At 38.1% G+C, this 21,505-nt stretch overlaps 1 protein-coding gene across 7 annotated transcripts in view, besides 1 other annotated feature; it reads right to left on the reverse strand.

Moving 5' to 3' along the window:
- SCN11A (sodium voltage-gated channel alpha subunit 11) overlaps nt 1-21,505 on the reverse strand; it is a 206,181-nt gene that overhangs the window by 21,335 nt on the left and 163,341 nt on the right. For all 7 annotated transcript variants that reach the window (NM_001349253.2, XM_047447378.1, XM_017005650.2 and 4 more), the window contains 8 exons: nt 19,027-19,140; nt 18,190-18,304; nt 16,135-16,289; nt 12,852-13,025; nt 5,095-5,196; nt 4,347-4,610; nt 3,593-3,646; nt 223-360 (listed from right to left, as the gene is read on the reverse strand). In NM_001349253.2, the coding sequence (NP_001336182.1) occupies nt 223-360; nt 3,593-3,646; nt 4,347-4,610; nt 5,095-5,196; nt 12,852-13,025; nt 16,135-16,289; nt 18,190-18,304; nt 19,027-19,140 (1,116 nt within the window). The remainder of the gene's footprint in view (nt 1-222; nt 361-3,592; nt 3,647-4,346; nt 4,611-5,094; nt 5,197-12,851; nt 13,026-16,134; nt 16,290-18,189; nt 18,305-19,026; nt 19,141-21,505) is intronic.
- Nucleotides 3,785-4,984: an enhancer, noted in NCBI's record as "CDK7 strongly-dependent group 2 enhancer chr3:38912374-38913573 (GRCh37/hg19 assembly coordinates)". NCBI's record gives its function as "activates an origin of replication core promoter dependent on BRD2, BRD4, P300/CBP, MED14 and CDK7 cofactors, with strong dependence on CDK7, by STARR-seq in HCT116 cells {active_cell/tissue: HCT116}" and the evidence as "EXISTENCE:reporter gene assay evidence [ECO:0000049][PMID:35650434]".

The raw sequence follows: 21,505 nt of genomic DNA on the forward strand, positions 1-21,505 counted from the left end.
AAGAGAATAAAAGTAATGACTTAATTAAACCCAGATGTTTTCAGTCTTCTTTCAGCCTCATCTTTGAGGATCATCTCCAGGCAGACATGGGAGGCTCCCTCCTTGTTATTGTGCAGATCATAAAGGCTACTTTGTATAACATTCTAGGCCAGAATTATGTTTTGTTAATGCATTTGGAGGACAGAGATAAAATTACCAAATCAAGACAACCCAGATACTTATCTTTTTCTGCTGTTGGTTGAAGTTGTCAATGATAACGCCAATGAAGAGATTCAGAGTGAAGAATGAGCCAAAGATGATAAAGACTACGAAGTAAATGTAACCGAGTGAATTGCTCTCAAACTCTGGCTGTTGTTCTTTCTGTTAGAAATTTTTTTAATAAGAGAAAAAAACAATTACTGGAGAAAAATATAAGCATTCTAACTACCTTATCTAGAAGACCAAGGTGTTTCTTAGCAGCAACATTGACTACATAGCCTCTTCCTAACAGCCATAGCCCCTGTTGGGAGCCTGTCTTTCAGTTTTTGCAGCTCAGCTTGAGTGATGGCATGTGGCGGGGACCTGGGGTGATGGAAAATCGGGCTTTTTATTCTAAGCAAAGGAGAATCATTGAGGGACTGTAAGGGAGATGAGTGGTATGATCACATTTGTCTTTTTAAAAAGTCATCCATATGGAATGTCCATATGGGTATGTAACTGGAGGGAACCTGACTGGAGGTGAGGCCACCAGAGGAGGGGCACGTTCACCTTGGGCAGAGGTGACTAAACTACTAAGTGTTGTTGAACTACTATGACCCCCATATAGAGCCCACTGCTTTACTTAATATGTGGTAATGTCCTTTCACTCTTAACTTCCTAGTGCCTAGCATACCTTCTGATATGTAGATTTTTGATACACATGGAATAAATATCTAAATGAATGAATAAATGATCGAGCTCTAAAATGGACACAAATGGACTCCAACCAAGCTCTCCTAGTCTAAGATACAACCCAAATCACCTAAGAGCCCTTTCATCCAAGTCCTTTGCATTGTTATTGGCTTCAAGCACTTTCAGGCAGGTGGCAAAAAGATTTCACTTTTTTTCCCTCTATCACATCAAAGATATAAGTGCTGATAGCTCTGACTAATGTTTAATGCATTTATGGTATTTGTTATTCAACACTCACAATGTAGACTAGTGTAATGAAGGTAATTATTTGAAAACATTATTTCTCTCTTTTGCTATGAAGACTACCTGACTTTAGTCCAAGTTTGCTTGAGGCATCCATTTATTTGAACAAAAGGTAGACATTAGTACAGAAACAACGTAATGGAAAGAATATTTAGCATTAGACATTTAAAATAAAATTGCCAAGTGGGCTAATAGTCTTGCATGTTAGGTTACTGCTTTGAGATATAGGAATGTCTGTACTCCTTCATGTCCCTCTTTGTTAAATCAAAGGTTTGAAGGTGGAGAGTTTTATTGGAGGGAGATTTAGACAAGAAGATGAAATTATCAAAGCTCACCCAATTTGTTCATAGGAAATGTAGGAAAAATAAACAGAGACAGAAAATCAGAGCTGCAAGATGTGTGTCCTGATTATCCCTCTTTGGGTCTGGAAAGGGGGGTTGGAATGCAGTAAATTGAGGGAAACATGGAAGGCAAAGAGGGTATTCTTGCTTTACTTCTGCATTTCCTGGAAGGAATTACTACTGGGAAGGCCTGAGATATATCAGGAAGGCAGGCTGACTTAAGAGATTTGAGTAACATAATTGAACAGAGAGAAGTCTCTTGAACCTCTCAGTTCTCATGTGGCTTGGACACGGAGTTGATAGCCATGGGCCTGTCATGTTGGGCCTTGCAGCAAGGGATGGGAGTAGACTGCCAGGGACCATGGGGAGGATATGGCAGAGTACCAGTATTTAAGGCCAGGAGGAGATGACGGGGAAAACGCTCACAGTTTCAACAACCACAACTTCAATATTTGAGGCCAGCAGAGTGCTGGGTGACTATATAGACAAGAGTCATCAAGCTAGAAGCCAGCATACAACAACCAGTACATATCAGGACCGGCATCAAAACAGGCACCCCTCCACACACTTCCACCCACCTGTCACTCACTCTTGGAGCATTTGCAAGCCACACACCTTGTCTACTACACATCTGCAAAACCTTTCCTCCCCACTCCCCATCTCCACCTCCGCACAGATGGATGTCAAAGCCAAACTAGAGTGAAGGTCATGTACTCGAAAAGACGAAAGAAATGAGTACATTAGTATTTTTAAAATATTTCCTTTGCTATAAATTGTAATTATAAAATTATGTTGTATATATAATTATAAAATTACATTGTATATATAAATATTACAATGTAAACTATAATTGTTATAAACAGTTAAGTATCTACTGTTACCTTTGTCTTTCCAGAAAGTTGACTTTATTGACACACCCAGAATTAAGCAAACTCAGATTTGTTGCTATGCATCATCTGTATATTAACTTATAATGACAATCTGTGAATTTATAATGACAACTGGAATGGCCATAAAGATTAATTCTTATCCCTCGGTGCTGCTATAACACTAATCAAACCACTTCTACTGCTACTACAGGCTGAGTATCCCTAATCTGAAAATCCGAAGTCTCAAGTGCTCCAAAATCTGAAACTTTTTGAATGCTGACATAACATGCAAAGGTCATGCTTAAAGGAAATGCTCACTGTGGCGTTTTGGATTTTCAGATCACGGATGCTCAACTGTAAGTATTATGCAAATATTCCCAAATCTTACAAACTCCAAAATCCGAAACACTTCTGGTCCCAAGCATTTCAGATAAGGGATACTCAGTCTGTACCAGCTCACAGGTACTGAATACTTTTTAGGTGTTAGGCATCAACTCTGCAGACTCCCAAATAGGTCGAAACACACACATGTGCTATAATAGGAAACAATAATTTCTGCCATTGACTCCATTCTTGAGCCAACCATCTGCTTACTCTATGGCTTTGGGAAACTCTTTCTTTTTATCCCTCAACTTTCCAAGCTGGAAAATAGAAACTAGGCTAGATTACTGAGTGCAATTCCAACTTTGGGAATCTGTGATTATCTTTTCTTTAACTAAAATTCAACAGCTGGTCATCACTAGAAACTCTAAAATTCAACAGTTGGCCATCACTAGGGAGTCTGGAGCCATGCGAGGGTCTCCCTTGCAAATTTAGTGCAGTCTTAAGGTTTCCCACAATCTAAAACAGATACTCTTTGAAATTTGGTTTCTGACTATCCAACCATTTGGAGAAGAGGGAAGAAGAAAATCAAGGCATCCTGTGATTCTGCCACTTCTGGCTCCATCTCCTGTATGAGTGGTTTTTCCTTGGCCACCATGGAGAAAGAAGACTGGACTTCAGAGAATACTGGGGTATCAGATACTCACTAGAGGATGCATAAGAATCCTTTGTATTAGGCAGTGGTATCTCATAGTGTTTTGTTCCAAAGAAAACAAGGCAGAGAACCCCAGCTGCTGGAACTATGACGCCAGTTCTGGACTGTCCATGTAGTCATGATATCTCTGACTTGACCATAACACTCCAGAACATGGTAGAACACTGACTCACCTCTGTGGAATCAACAGCTGCATATATAATATCCATCCAGCCCTTAAATGTTGCCTGCAACAAAAGCAGAAAAACATGAATAATACAAATGTAGACTTGCCATCAACAGATACATGGCATGGAAAAGCAGGTGAGGCCCAGTGGGCTGAATATATAAGATGATACCCCAACCTTCTAGGACAGGATGCTCAAATAAAAGAACAGTAGAAGGGAACTCAAGGGTGTGTGTCTTGGATTTTTTTCTTCTTCTTCATTTGTACAAGATACAAAGTTTAAAAACAAGAAATTTCCACCTTAAAAGTTACCAGAGAGGCTGAAGCTGTGGCCCAACAGCTGAAAAGAGACTGGCTAAGAGTTAAAGGGTTCTTTTCTGATGCCATATGTATTTGCACTGCCTGTTCAAGACCTGGCAACTGTGCTTTAAACAGGGAACTGTTCAAAGTGTCATGACCTACACCTGAGGCTCCACTCCTCTCTGCCTGGAGATGTGGAGAGCCAGCAAGGTGCCATACAGGACAAGGTGAGATGTACAGATCCTTAAAGGGGCATCACTAGGAAGCTGAGGCTCAGCAGTCAATGAAGTTGCAGATGCTCAGTAGAGGACAATTCCAGAAGGCATTGGCTTTCATATAAGGAATTAGGATTTGCTTCTATTATCACAATGGAGTCACTGCATTTTTATTAGCTGAGAAACAATTCATGATTCTCTGAAGGTTTTTCTCCTCAGAGTGAAAAACATACTGACTGTACTTACCACTTGCAGCAGAGCGAGGTAAGCATTTCCCACATTGTCAAAGTTGACTTTCTGGTTGATCCAAGAGAAATTGCCACTTTCACATTGACTTTTATTTGTAATGATGGTATAATTTATAACTGAGTCTGTTCCATTAATGCATTTCCCAAATTTTCCAGAAAAGAAGTATACTCCCAGAATACAAAATACGAGCCAGAAAATGAGGCAGACAAGCAAAACATTCAGAATGGCAGGTATGGCACCTATGAGAGCATTGACCACCACCTTATGGAAACAAAAGCAAAGAAAACCATAACAGATGGGTAGGATGCACCAGGCTCTTCAACTTCTCAGCATGGGCCTGATGTGCAGGGCTTGATCTCTTGGAGCTCTGTCCTTAATCTCCACATACATGTGCCCCATCCCCATGACAAGCCCTGCTCTCAGCTCCCTACATAATGGGTCCTCTCTGTTGCCACTGAGGATACCTTGAGAAGTGCCCTGGTGATGACAGTGTTAGAGACTTATGGACACCTACCCCAGGATTCTGAGGCAAAGCTACAGCTCATCTTGGCTGTCACAGAAGCTTTTAGGGTAGAAAGTATATCTTAGGCTTTTCTCTACCCCTCAAATTCTAAGCACTGGGCAGGCTGGGAAGTAACCCAGGAAAAGCTTGGCAATTTAAGGAAATCTCAGCCCAAAAAGAACTGTTGGTCTTTCCACCTTTCTCTGTTAACTGAACTTCTACCCATTCTTCTGCAGAATGTACCTTCATTCCTTCAAACTGGGACAGCGCACGAAGAGGCCTCAGTGCTCGTAGAGTCCGGAAGGACTTCAATTCCATTAAGTTAATGAGGGTGGTCACAGAGACCTGATGGGAAGAGAGGCCACAGATAATGTACCTGACTTGGTGTCCAGCTGGAAAGTCCATTTTTCTCCTTATCTACCAAAGCTACAGTCCATAAACGTGGGAACAATGCACTCACGTTATTTGTTTAGTGAAAGACATAGAAAATCCGAGAAATTGTTGTGAATTAAAGGAAAGCAAAGAGATATAACAATCACATGTAATCTGGGGTGCTGAATTGGATCCTGGATTGGAGTGGGGGTAGGAGGTGGATGCATAAAGGGAATTAACCATAAAGAATCTTGTTATGGCAGTCAATTGAAATTTATTATGATAGTCAATTGCCATAACAAAGATCTTTATGGTGAATTTGAAAAATTTGAAAATGGATGTGGATTTTAATTGAATCAATGTTAAATTTCTAACTTTGATCACTGTATTGTAATCATGTGAGACATTGTCCTTGATAGGAAATATACATTGACATGTTTAGGGGTAATAGGTTTGATGCTTGCAACTTAATCTCAAGCAGTTTAGGGGGAAAAAAAGAGAGAAAAAAATGACAAAGCAGATGGGTGACAATAATTGGTGAACCTGAAGAAAGAATATGTGGATTTCATTATACTATTTCCTGCAACATTTTTCTTAGTTTGAAATGATATCAAAATAAAAAGTTACATGGAAAAAATAAATTATTTGCTAATATTTCCCCTAATCCAAATAGCTCCTTATTGGGGAATTAAATGCTATTTTCTCTCCCAATATGCTTCTTCTCAATAGGACAGAACTGAGTATTAGAAAGCTCTGTTAAGTATACCAAATTAAATCTTAACAATATTTACAGATGCTCAGTAGAGGACAATTCGAGAAGGTATTGGCTTTCATATGAGGAATTAGGATTTGCTTCTATTATCACAATGGAATCAATGCTGAGCTTGAGTTGAATCTGCTTGCTGCAGATCTTCAGCCATTCTTATTATGGAGAGTTTTCAGAGGCTCAGCTTGGAAGAAGAGTTGCTCAGCTGGATAGGAAGTGAATCAGGATAGTCCTGACTAAGCTGATGTCAGAGTTCACTATTACCTAAAAACATTCCTCACAAATCTTGCCAACCTCATTGTAGTAGTGAAGAGAAATTGAGTTAATATGACAGAATATTAAGATTTTGAAATTTATAATCAATTTACAGTGTATTTATAATGTTTTTAGTGGGCTTTTTGTTTACAATGGCACCACTTTTGGAGAGTTATTTAAGTTATTAAGTTATTAAGTAGCTTTCTCGCAAATACTCCACTTATTCCTAGCCAGATGAAAACAGATGGCAAAGTTTAGCAATTCTTCTGTTTTACCAAATCATTGTCATAGTTGGTGAGAAGGGATGTTCCTACAGAGACCTTATACACCTCTTTACCTTAAACCTTACCCAAGTTTCTGTTCCATCAGACTTGCAGGTATCAGTGAGACACATAGAAACACCCACATTCTTTCCCACCATACTGTACTCTTCAAGTGAGAAGTCTTCTACTAGTTTTATCTTATTTTTAAAATCTAACTTGCATTTATCACTCTGCACTGTTTTTGAAATCATCATGTTGATTATATTCTTATGGTTTGCTCCTTGTAACTGTTGAGGAATAGTACAGCATATAAATCTTCATGTTTTACGGATCCATTCCTCCTTGGTGAATACCTAGGTTATTTCCATTTCTTTCCTATTATGCAAAACAGTACACTGGACAGTATTATGCACAACAGTACACTGGGCAGATGTGTGCATTTTTCTTGGGTACATATGCAAGAGTTCTCCTTGGATCTATAACAAGTGATATTTGTGGATTGTGAGTTGGGTCATTTGTGATTTTTACTTAATATAGTGCGAAATATTCCCTACAGTGGCTGTACCAATTAAATTATTAGCAGTGGTTTGAGATCGCATTTTCCTATATCCTTCTAAATATCGATGTTATCCAACTTTAAAATTTTTGCCATGGCATTTTCCTATATCCTTCTAAATATCGATGTTATCCAACTTTAAAATTTTTGCCATGGCTGGGCACAGTCGCTCAAGCCTGTAATCCCAGCACTTTGGGAGGCTGAGGCAGGCAGATAGCTTGAGCTCAGGAGTCTGAGACCAGCCTGGGCAACATGGTAAAACCCTGTCTCCATAAAAAATACAAAAATTAGCTGGGCATGGTGGTGGGCGCCTGTAGTCCCAGCTACTTAGGAGTCTGAGGCAAAAGGATCAATTGAGCTTGGGAGGCAGAGGTTGCCACTGCACTCAAGCCTGGATGACAGAGTGAGACCATGTTTCAAAACAATATATTTTGTTTTCCAATCTAATGAGTAAAAAGAGGCCTCTCATTTTAATATGCACTTCTGTGCTAACTGGTGATAGAACTAGTGTATATTTCATCATACGTTTATTCCTTTTGTGAATTGGCTGTTTGTATACTTCTCCCATTCTTACTCTGGGTTGTTTTTTCCTGTGAATCTGTAGGAAATTTGTATATGTTGTGAATAATAATGATCTGTTGTGGAAAATACTGTCTCCCAGGTTCTAGTTGGTTTGTAACTGTAATTAGAGTATTGTTGAATACAAAAATAAAAGTTTTACTACATTTTGATGTAGTTGAATTGTGTATCTTTTTGTGGTTTATGCTTTTCTAATAAAAATTATGATGGTAATTTTATATAATCTTGATTGACAATAAATATTATAGAACTGTTCACATACATTCTCTCATTTAATCTGTACAACAATATCCCAAGCTAAGCAGCACTTTGCAACATCTACCATATTATAGATGAGGAAACCTGAAGCTCAAAGGATCAGCAACTTGTTTCAGGTCATACAGCTGATAAGTGGTGAATTTCAGATTCACACCACAGTCTGCATGATGTCAAGGCTAATAATAGTAATAGTAAACCACATTTGTTGAGTGCTTTATCTGTGATTTGCAAAGATATATAATTGTAAGATTATTTTCTTATTTGATTCATTTCTGTTCTATTCATTTATTATCAATATTATGTTTATCTCATTAAATAAATTTGCAAGCTTTCCTTCTTTTGTCTATTCTTTGTAACAATTTGAATAAGATGAGATTAATTCTTCCTTGGAAGTTTGGTAAAACTTACCTGCAAAACCATCTGGGCCTCTTGATGATATGATTGTATACATAGAAAATCCTAGAGTCATCCAAAAAACTCCTAGAACTGGCAAATGAATTCAGCAAAGTTTCAGGATACAAAATCAATGTACACAAATCAGTAGCACTGTGATACACCAACAGTGACCAAGCTGAGAAACAAGTCAAGAACTCAACCCCTTTTACACTAGCTGAAAATAAAATAAAATAAAATACTTAGGAATATACCTAACCAAGGAAGTGAAAGACTTCTACAAAGAAAACTACAAAACACTGCTGAAAGAAATCATCAATGACACAAACAAATGAAAACACATCTCATGTTCATGGATGGGTAGAATCAACATTGTGAAAATGACCCTACTACCAAAAGCGATCTACAAATTCAATGCAATTCCCATCAAAATACCACTATCATTCTTCACAGAACTAGAAAAAACAATCTTAAAATTTACATGGAACCAAAAAAGAGCCTGCATACCCAAAGCAAGACTAACCAAAAAGAACAAATCTGGAGACATCACATTTTCAGACCTCTAACTGTACTATAAGGCCATAGGCACCAAAACAGCATGGTACTGGTATAAAAATAGGCACACAGACCAATTGAACAGAATAAAGAACCCAGAAATAAAGCCAAATACCTACAGCCAACCGATCTTCGACAAAGCAAACAAAAACATAAATTGGGAAAAGAGCACCCTATTCAACAAATGGTGCTGGGATAACTGGATAGCTACAGGTAAGAGAATGAAACTGGATCCTCATCTCTCATCTTATATGAAAATCAACTCAAGAGGGATCAGGGATTTAAGTCTAAGACCTGAAACCATACAAATTCTAGAAGATAACATGGGAAAAACTCTTCTAGACATTGGCTTAGGCAAAGACTTCATGACCAAGAACCCAAAAGCAAATGCAACAAAAACAAAGATGAATAGATGGAACTTAAAACTAAAAAGCTTCTGCACAGCAAAAGAAACAATCAGCACAGTAAACAGACATCCACAGAGTGGGTGAAAATCTTTGCAATCTATACATCTGACTAAGGACTAATATCCAGAATCTACAAAGAACTCAATCAAATCAGCAAGTAAAAAAACAAATAATTCTATCCAAAAGTGGGCAAAGGACATGAATGGACAATTCTCAAAAGAAGATTTACAAATGGCCAACAAACATAGGAAAAAATGTTCAACATCACTAATTATCAGGGAAATACAAATCATAACCACAATGTGATACCACCTTACTCCTGCAACAATGGCACTAATCAAAAAATGATAGATGTTGGCGTGGATGTGGTGAAAAGAGAACACTTCTACACTGCTGGTGGGAATGTAAACTAGTACAACCACTATGGAAAACAATGTGGAGATTCCTTAAAGAACTAAAAGTAGATCTGTCATTTGATCCAGCAATCCCACTAATGTGTATCTACTCAGAAGAAAGGAAATCATTATATGAAAAAGACACTTGCACACACGTTTATAGCAGCACAATTCGCAATTGCAAAAATATGGATTCAGCCCAAATGCCCATCAATCAACCAGTGGATAAAGAAAATGTGATATATATATAGAGAGAGAAAGAGACATATGGTGTATATATATGGTATATATATGGTGTATATACTATATATATGGTATATATATGGTGTATATACTATATATATGGTATATATATGGTGTATATACTATATATATGGTGTATATACTATATATATGGTATATATATGGTGTATATACTATATATATGGTATATATATGGTGTATATACTATATATATGGTATATATATGGTGTATATACTATATATATGGTATATATATGGTGTATATACTATATATATGGTATATATATGGTGTATATACTATATATATGGTATATATATGGTGTATATACTATATATGGTATATATATGGTGTATATACTATATATATGGTATATATATGGTGTATATACTATATATATGGTATATATATGGTGTATATACTATATATATGGTATATATATGGTGTATATACTATATATATGGTATATATATGGTGTATATACTATATATATGGTATATATATGGTGTATATACTATATATATGGTATATATATGGTGTATATACTATATATATGGTATATATATGGTGTATATACTATATATATGGTATATATATGGTGTATATACTATATATATGGTATATATATGGTGTATATACTATATATATGGTATATATATGGTGTATATACTATATATATGGTATATATATGGTGTATATACTATATATATGGTATATATATGGTGTATATACTATATATATGGTATATATATGGTGTATATACTATATATATGGTATATATATGGTGTATATACCATATATATATAGTCTTTGGTATATACTATATACATACACCATGGAATACTACTCAGCCATAAAAAGGACCAAAATAGTGGCTTTCACAGCAACCTGGATGGAATTGGAGACTATTATTCTAAGTGAAGTAACTCAGGAATGGAAAACCAAACATTTTATGTTCTTACTCATAAGAGAGACCTAAGCTAAGAGGACACAAAGTTGTAAGAATAATACAATGGACTCTGGGGACTCAGGGGAAATGAGGGTGTGAGGGATAAAAGACTACATTAGGTACAGTGTACACTGATCGGGCGATGGGGCACCAAAATCTCAGAAATCACCGCTAAATAACTTATTCAGGTAACCAAACACCACCTGTTCCCTGAAAGCCTATTGAAATATAATAAATAAATAAATAAATAAATAAACCCACCCATCTCAGCCTGGTACCCTTTTTTGACAGTGTGGCTTTGGACAACTGTTTTGATATTTTTAATGGCGATCACTAGATTTCTAGTGAAACTATCACTAGCTTTCTATTATGTATTCAGTGAATTTGGGCAATTTATAGTCCACATCCTCATTTTTACCTGTGAGAAAATTATTGTCAAAAGAGGGGAAATGTTTTGCTTAAGGTTACACAAAAAGAGGGTAGACCAATTAGCTTTAGGACCCAGGCTCCTAAATGTAGGGCTTGTATCCGGTAAAACAGAGTTCCCTATAATGGAGATAACAATCATCTGTTCACACAGTTTTTAGGGTTTTCTTTTTACTATAATCTATTAAGATAATACGTACAGAGTTATTTGCTCTCTAGAAATTAATAGGACTGACAAACGTGGATGTTTTTATTCCCATCTTTGAATCCTGTTGTAGTTTCTATGGCATTTATACCTTTCTAAAATGCCTGAACCACAATGAGCTTCTGTTTCCTTGTCTCTGAGCCTCTGGTTTTCTTGTTAGTAATGTGGTAGATGTCATGTAATACTGATTAACTCAGAATATTGATGTCCATATTAAATGAACACATGGTCTATTTGTGCTAACCAACAACATTATGGTTCTCCAGTGGGGTTTCCTGACCACATGGTTTATGCTCAGATATTTGTCTTATCTACTTCCTTGCATAGCAGGGACAAAGTTTAACTAATTACATCATGATGGAAAGAGGTAATGTTAAAATCAAGGGCCCTGGAGTGAGACTTACTAGGTTGCACCAGTTTTAATTATATAAAGGTATTACATAATCACATGTATCCTGAAAATATGTCCATCTACTATGTATCAGTAAACATAAAATTAATCTTAAAAAAAGGATGTAATGTTAAATCAAGAGCTTTGGAGTGAGGCTTACGAGGTTTGTATCTCACCTCCACCACTTCTAGCTGGGCAATCCTGAACATGTTTCTTAGCCTCTCTATGACTTACTTTCTTTCTCTGAATATACAAAAATAGTAGCACCTGCCACAGAGTGGCTATGACAACTAAAAGAGAGAAGGCATTTGGAGCATATGGAAGAGTACTTGATACAGAGAAAGCACTCAATAAATGTGATCCACTAATACTATTATTAGCTTTTGTGTCATACAGCTAGACACGTGAATCCCAATTTCACCACTTATCAGCTCTATGACCTGAAACAAATTGATAATCCTCTGAGCTTCAGGTTTCCTTGTATACAGTGTGGGAGGTGTCATACAATGCTGCTTAATTCAGAACATTGTCATGCATATTAAATGAGAGACTGTATGTGAACAATCCTCTTATGCTGCTTGACAATTAAGATGGATATTAGCCTAGTCTATTGGCTGCTGACCAGCTTTGAGAAGTCTTGAAAAGAAATAGAAAGTTGGAAGAAGAAAAAATCGAGGATACTGAAAGTTATTCTAGGTACATATTATACATAAACAGTGCTTATGGAGAGAAGTGAATGAATCCCATCATGGGAAAGGTTGTAGTGGTGAGCATATAAAGTGTAGTGTATGATGAGCGGGACCTAGGAAAGGCTAAACTGCTTACAGACAAATGACAACTACTTACAAGTACTGTGAAGAGGCAATGATAACAAGAAAAACTATTTTAGACAGACATCCATATGCGGCACACAGGAAAAGCAGCCTCCATATGATCCCTGCCTTAACCACTACCCCAGCCTGTGTGGGACACAGAGATGGTAAACTTACAATCACAATGATGAAATCAAGGCAGCACCAGGCACTGGTGAAATACTTTCCAAATCCGAAGGCTACCCATTTTAGTACCATCTCCAGGATAAAAATATGTGTAAAAATAATGTCAGTACAATTTAGTAATTCTTGGATTTTGGGTTGGTTCTCAAGGTGAACATCTTCAAATATCTGAAATGAAAAAGCATAGCCATAGGCCAGGTTGAATATTTGCAAAGAACTCCTTGGTAACTTTACTTTTTGTTTTTCTTCCTTATATGAATAAAAACTGGTATCTCTCTTCGTAATGAGGTTCTGCTCAAAAGATATTAAGGCTAAACTTTTCCAATGGAATCCATTCCTTGAGTAAGTAAAAATGGAAGAAGGAAAATCTTCTTTCTTCTGTTGTCACAATAGTTCCTCAACTGCTTATTACTGGTCCCCTGAATATTAAAACATCTTCCTAATGGATCAGCACATTATTTCCTGGGCTTCCTCATCTTTTCAACTCCTGCCAAATATGTCTTGCCAACATTCCCAGGACCACCCAGTGGCATAGACCATCTCTCATCCTCCCAATTGCCTTGGTGGATTAATTCAGTGTCTCTTTATTGCTTATAACATTAAGTCCAAGTGCCTTAGCCCGTTCTCTAAATCCTGCCAACCCTGATGCCCCTCATCTATCCCTACAAACAGCCTTATCCATTTACCTTACCATTCCCTACAAATAGTGTCATTTCTTATGTGTGCCATGACATTAACAAAATTTGGAACACTCTAGGCTAAAGCTCCCAGTGTAAATTACTTTGAATATTAAACATTGTTATTTGTAATTATGAAAAAGAGATCCTGGCTTTCAGAGAGACCCTTTTTAATGCTACATCCAAACACTTCCCTCACGCAAACTGTATGTGATTCTACAGGGTCTATATAACTAGCGTATAAGCTGTCCTTTTGGCCTTTACAGAGTTACTGAGAATGAAAGAAAGGAAGACGGCCTGTTACTAAAGCTGCCCATGAAATTTACGTCAACATTGAAGGCAGGAAGGGAATCATCCTTGCTGTTGGAGACTAGGGTAAGCCCACAGCTCCAAAGTCCTGGGGTGAAAAAAAGAATGCAAAAGAGTAAAACAGTCTCACTTCCAATTGCCAAATTGGTTTCTGGCTGAAGAAGGCCCTCTATCTCATCCTCTGCTCTTTCAGCTCTTCAGCTTTAAGATTTCAGCTTAGCTGATATTTTCTATAGGAAACTGTCCCGTTCCAGCAGGATTGGGTTAGGTTCCCATCCTACATGCTCCCATGTCACCCACTGCTTCCCTGAGTAGACCACTTAATTGTTCTATCTATCTTGATCTATACTTTCTGGTCTATAATCACTCCAGCTGTCTTTCCTACTAGACTTCAGGCTCCTGGAGGTCAGGGACTTCGTTTGTTTGCCTCTTGAGGATAAACAAATCTGAATGGTATTGGGTGCTCATTTCCTCCCTTATTTGGGAAGCTTACCAGTAAGCTGGTTCAGCAGATCTGAGTTAGCTCAATGGATGAGCACGCTTATACCTGCAATTGAGCTTCAGAGGCTTCCACATTATATCTAGGCCATTTTCTGACACAGGAAGCTCTTATTATTACATAGTTGCCTAGACCAGAGTTTCTCAAACTCTAATGAACCCCAAATCACCTAGGGAACTTGTTACAATGGACTGCTTGTTACAATGTAATACTCTGCGTTTCTAACAAGCTTCCAGGTGATGCTGCTGCTGCTGCTGATAGACACATATAGTGGCAAACAACTTGATGTCTCTTGTTCTCATTCTCTACAAATATGTACAGAGAAATATGGGCTGGGTCCTTCCCCTGGCACCCTCTGCATTGTGTGTTCAGCTTTGCTCTGCCCAGCCTACACCTGCCTTTCCGAAGGCAGATAAGAACTGGAGTTGTGTGCCCTCTGCTACATTTCTGATCATACATTTTCTTTTTATGGCACCATGGGGCATTTTTGCTGTGGCCTTTTGGCACTGTCACTGCTTTCCCACTGCCTATATCATAAGTACCATTTGTGGAATAAATACAAGAAACCCTACACTTGAGTAACAGTAGACAGCCAGTGAAAATGTAGTCACCAGAAAGTCTACAGGTAACCCTAGACCCAAGATTAACAATAAAAATTTATTAAGGGAATTCTCTGGGATGGTTTTAGAGAAATCTGCTTTTCTATTTGAAGAATAATTTACACTGTAGTAAGTAGACAAATGGACATGTATGTTGATCACAGTCCCCGGTGGGCTCTGGTATGTATTCATCTCTTTTCACCTAGAGATCACACAAGTGTAAAACACTAACCAGAAGCTATGGGGTGTAGGAGCAAGACATTTCCTTGTCTTTTTCCACTTGCTAGTGATTCACTGTGAAATGTTCTGTCACTCTTAGCAGGGGAGAACCCAAGGCTCCTGGGTTTAGTAATATGGAACCAAACTCTCATAACAAACTCATAACTTTGTTATGTCAAACAGTAAGAGAATTTGGTTCCCTATTATTTAGCTCCACATTACTGTATGATCATTTTAAGGGAAGATGCATGATAGAAAAAAGCAGAAAATAGAAAAGGAGAGGGCGAAATATGCAGGTGATAAGAGAAAAGATACTATCCCTCCCTAGCAGGGAGGAGAAAGGGAGACAAGAAGGACCAGAAGGTGTGGAGAGAGAGCATAAAGGAGTGGATAGCTCTATGGCTATAGAAGCTGATGGGTTCAGAGTTATTTCTAAATCTCATTGGGACTCATACCACACTTTGACCATGCATATAAAGCAACATCTCCTTGTCCTTTCTTTCAAGGGATCATGAATGACAGAAAATACCAAGGCAACTTATTATATCCTAATCTGGTCCCTGTAACTCCCTCCCATAATATTTTACCTTTCAGAAAACAGCACTATGGCTTATGGTAACAGGGAGAGTAGAAGCACTGCTGTCTAGAGGAAGAACTATGTAGGATACAGTGAAAATGTCTAGAAATCCCCCAAAAATGAGAGGTAGATGATCAAGGACCAGACTCTAGTGGCCACTTTAAAGTGCTGGTTTTAGTTAGTCTTCCACACAGATAAAGCATCTTTGCTTGGTGATATCCCAGTTGAGCACGATTTCAGAAGCTGTGCAAAACCCTGCCCACTGCGGGAACCAGCAGCATCAGAGACCACTTCTGTCTGGTCTCCCATATTCACAGTCCCACGAGAAGCCAAGTCAGAGTGCAGCTTCCCCAGCTGCCCTGATGCCCAATGTCTCCACAAGACAATGATGATTTACCAGTGCCCCACTGCTCAGCAGAATCACAAAGATAATAAAGCTCTCAAACCAGCTGTGTTTCACTATTTGGTAGCAGGTTTTCCGCAGGTTCCACCAAATGACCCAGGGAGGCTTTCTCTTGTCCACGCTACAGCATGGAAAGCAGCAACCAAAGCCTGAAAGGAATTAATGGTAGCACTATCATTAGTGTCTGTAATAAACTGCATTAAAATGCAACTCTTCACCCCTTTCTGTGTTCATGCCCCTTGCCATGCGACCTGCAGTTGCTCCCATTAAAGAAGTAGAGCATCTTTTTCTAACATCTTAAATCTGGTCCCTGCCATGTGACTTGCTTTAGCCAATAGAGTGGAATGGAAGTCACACTGTGCCAGTTCTGAGCCCAGGTCTTGAAAAGCCTTGCATGCTTCCACTTGCTGTCTTGTGCCATCTCCATAAAAAAAGGCAAATTCAGGCTACCCCATTGGGTCTGGAAGGAGGATGATAGACATGTGGAGTAGAGCCATGTTGCCCTGTTGAGCCCAGGCTAGATAACACTTGCATGAATGAAGCCAATCAAGATCAGCTGAATCCTGCAGGCACATGTTTACTATTTTATGCCACTGAGGTTTTGTAGTTGTTTGTTATGCAGCAATTTTTTTGGTAATCATAAAGAGATCATGTCTGGAGGACTCCAGGGAATGAGGTAGGATGGCCACAGGCTTTGTGAACCTCTCAGGTCATACACGAAAGAATTTGATCAAATGTCGAGACGTTTACAAAGAGCTGAGCATTTGTTCTGAACACACACAGGCCTTCAATATAGACCACATTGCCCTTTCCACCTTTTCTCCTCCTCCCCTTGTACAAATTCTGCTGATCCTTATTCATGATGATTATAACATTCTGCTCCTTTCCTCATCTTCTTAAACCACTATGGGCTCTCTTCACTCTGCCTCTTTTCTTCTTCCAAAAACATCAGTAGGTTCATCTTCCTAAAAGACTACACTTTTTTCCTGGCTTTTATCCCACTCCTCCCTTCTTTGATAAAACCACCTTTCTTTCTCATCTCCACTGTTGACATCATATGCACACCTCAAGAGCCAGTGCAAACATAAATGAGGAGAACTGCAATCTACTGGAAATCCTTAATCCAACTCCTGTCCAGCTTTGGAGCTGTTAAGCAACCTGGAATGTGAGTTTGAAACCTGTTATTTGTGTTGCTTCTGGACCCAATTTAATCCTAAACTTATAGATAATTTTTTTAGATTCATTCATTAATTTGTTTCACTTATTTATTTATCAACATTTGTTGAACCCATTTCTGGGCCGGCTTCTATTCTTACACTAGAGATACAATGCTGATGAAGTCACTGCCTTTGTTTTTAAGGACCTCATGGGGGAAACCAGTGCAAATAAGTTCACTACAATGAATATAACAAATAGTAAAGGCCTATAGGAAAAAGCCACTATATCCACTCAAGGAATTAGGAAAGCCTGCATTTATTGATTGCTTATTTTTGTTCCAGATGCTCTTCTAAGTGATTTATATTCACTCATTTAATAGTCACAACAACTCTTTGCTTTGGATACTATTATTACCCTCATTTTAGAAATAAAGCACAGAGAGGTTAACTAAATTGAACAAGTCACACAGCTCATAAGTGGCAAGGCCAGAATTTGAGCTCAGGCAGTCTGGCTTCTAAGCTAAAGATCCTGACTACAATGTCTAAACTCTTTTCTTGGTCTTTCACCTCAAATACACCCTGACATTGAATGCCCTGGGAACCATAGAAAGTGGCAGACATATTGGCCCAGTGGGCTTTCTAAGAGAGTTTTCCAGAGTGTTTACCTGGCATTTTGGGCCATGTGAGAGGAGCCCAATTAAAGCAAGAATTTCCTGAAATCCCCTCTGCCTAGATCCGACAATCGCCTCAAGAATCTACGGGTGCCCTCTCATTGCTTTTGTCTCCAATAGAAGTAGAAAGATGATATCTACTAAAACCACAGAGCTTCAAAGAAGAACAGAAACCCCATCCAAAGATTCTGTGAACTGGATGCAGAAATACTGCCACTTACCTTTGGGCAAACATCTCTCTGGTTGCTTTTTGGGAACCATCTCAGGTAACCATCCAAAGCCATCCTGAAGATCAATGGTGCTACATTCTGATAGTATACTGGTAACATCAGACTTCTGCACATCAGAACAAAACGAAGGGGGTGCCTTTTACTAAGACCTTCTTTCACCATAGTAGTACGGAGTTTCTCATTGTCTGATTTTTTAAGGATGAAATGAACTAGGCAAAGGTTTCTAGGATGAGAGGTGTCAAGAAACACCCCTCCTGCTGGGTCCTTTTCTAAGTGCTATGACCAGCCTGACTTCAGAAGAGAACTCTCTAGCTCATCTCTATAGCTGAGGAATAGCAATGCATATGAAGATACAGTACCTCCACGTTTTCTCCCTACAGATCATAACCCTGATAGGCTGCCTAACTCCAATTATGTGATGAGAAGAAGGCTACTTTACTGAGACTATAATTTTCCACTGTCTCACCTCCTGGAATAATAGGCCTAGACCAGTGGTTCTTATTTCTTTGGCCCTCCAGGAGACATTTTGGCAATGTCTAGAGACATTTTTCATTACCTTAACTGGCGGATGCTACTGGCATCAAATGCATAGAGGCCAAGGATATGGATAAACATCTTACAATTCACAGAAAAGCTCACCATGACAAATAATTGTCCTGCTTCAAATGTCATACTAGTAAAGTTGAGAAACCTGGCCTAGACTTTTGCTCAAAACTCGATTCTTGCAATTTTCTCTGCATTAATTGTGCCATTTTTCCATAATAACTATCCTGGAGAAGGTGTGTGGATGAGCCACAAGTTCCTCTGACAACATCCTAGGAAAATTACCTTTCGGGGATCCTGTATGGTCAGATGAGGCTCATCTTCAGAGAACATGTCAATTTCCACACTTTGAACTCTCTGGCTCGTGGGCTTCTTGTTCTCCTGATGGAGCTCATAGGCCTAACACAGAGAGCCCAGAATAGAATTAATATTCCTCCTGGACATGTCACTTAAGATGAAAGAAGTTTGAATGCTATTTGGTTTTCTCTTTGTCATGAGAATAAGCCTTTGACATTATTACTCTTTTTTCTCTTTAGAAACTGCTCCTGGAAAAACTCAACATAATATAATTCTGGGAAAACTACTAGAGGAAACAGATACTGAACTTGTTACAAAGATACATAATCAAAACAGTATGGTTCTGGTACAAAACTCCGCAAGTAATTCAGAAATAAAACTTACATGGAGATTTAATATAATTTACATGGGGATTTAATATATTTTAAATGTGCTCTTTCAATTCAATGGCTAGATAATAAATTATTTAATAAATGGTACACAATGCCATAATATAGTAAAAATAAAATATATAATCTTATGACATTCTGATGTAAAAATAAATGGGTAAACATTTTAAAAGAAAAATTTGAAAAATAACTTGCTATCATGTGGGGTACAGAGAGTTTCCTTAGCAAAACAGGAAACTAAAAGACATAAAGAAAAATAATAAAACATATCACTACATAAAACTGAAAAATAAATTTGTTCTGATGACCTACAGGAATATCTAATAAGGATGTGTACAGTCATGTAACCAAGCAGCTTGGCAGCTGAGCCTCGAACTGTGTTTTAAACATTTTTTTCTTCTTTTCCTCTTCCTCTTTCCCCTCCAAGTCTCAAGATACAACTTTGAGACAACCTGCATATGTGTTACCTCTTATCTTGAAATACAGCCTTGGAATGTGCTGTGAGCCTCCACTGCCTTTCCTTTCCCATACTATATTCCCATACCTTATGCACATTTATTTACCTAAATGCTTTTTAAGTACACGCCATGTTCTTTTATGTGGTCATATGTTTTCTTAGAAGCTTCGAGAGTCAGATCCTGATAGGGACCAGGTACCTCTAGAATTCTCTCCCCAACAAGATTACTTCAAGAACAGAACCTACTTCAGGCTGTAGAGTGACTACAAGATTGACTGCAACTAATTTATAACCTGGCAGGATCCATGATGGCACCAGCCCCTTCACCACATGGGACAATAATTCAAGAGGGGCCACTGGAGCAAGTCACACCACCTGGCACCTCCTAGCCCCTCTTGCCTATTCTGCATCTCAAACCCTTTCTTTAAAAACCCCCGCATTCCGGGACTGTTGTGGGGTGGGGGGAGGGGGGAGGGATAGCATTAGGAGATATACCTAATGCTAAATGACGAGTTAATGCGTGCAGCACACCAACATGGCATATGTATACATATGTAACAAACCTGCACGTTGTGCACATGTACCCTAAAACTTAAAGTATAATAATGATAAAATAAAAAAATAAAAAATAAAATAAAATAAAAACCCCCGCATTCCTTCCACAAATTGAAGAGTAGAATGGGTCTCTGCTCTTCCCCTTGCTGGCACAGATAATAAGAGAATATTGCTCTTTCTTATCATAATTTGTTATTATTTTGAATTCTTTTCATAAGCAGCTAGCAGCCGGACGGATCCTTTTGCTGGTTACAGTCACATCTTGGGTGAATGTTTTATCCTAACATCTATGTGAAGACTCTTGCAACTCTGACATTATAAGGTCATGATTCAGAAACATTTCTCCACACATGTAATAGCATATGTAAAAATACACACACATACAAATATAGCCACGAATATACCTCACAAACATACACATACAAAAAGGGGTAACCTGTCTGTGGACTAGACACAGAAAAGAAATATAAAGTAGTAAGAATTTAAATAAGATAGCAGGTAATGGTGTCTAAAAGTACCCTAGATGAGGAAGGGAACCAGAGCTATATTTAAGGCTTGAAACTGTGGGCTGAGGTAAAGTTTTTGCACTTAAGAGAGAAAGCCAAAAAACACAAATGTCGCAGCAAACGCTTATGATTACAATTGTATAAAGCTGCATACGTAGGGAGACAGGAAGAAGTACAACCTCAGAAATGGGACCTGGGCAAAAGTACCCACTGGTTCAGTGACTGGATCTGCAATATGACTTGTATCATTATTAGACAACAACCCAAAGCTGGTGATAGAAGACATGGATCTGAAATGGATGCCACAGAAGGATTTATTACAGACAATCATAGAACTTAGACTGCAAAGAGAATGACAGATCTTCCCACTAAAGATGAGCTTTTAAGCTAACATTCCAAAATATATGAGGAAACAAACATAAAATCAGTAGACTTCCTAAAATTAACAACTAGGAGGTGAATTCACTTGAGAAAAAGATGAAAGTTACATAATAATCTGAAAATGTCTTTAAATTAATACATATAGAATTTAATAAAGAAGTTACATAGAGTTTCACTTC

This window comes from Homo sapiens, chromosome 3, assembly GCF_000001405.40.
Source record: "Homo sapiens chromosome 3, GRCh38.p14 Primary Assembly".
In the NCBI taxonomy this organism is placed as follows: domain Eukaryota; kingdom Metazoa; phylum Chordata; class Mammalia; order Primates; family Hominidae; genus Homo; species Homo sapiens.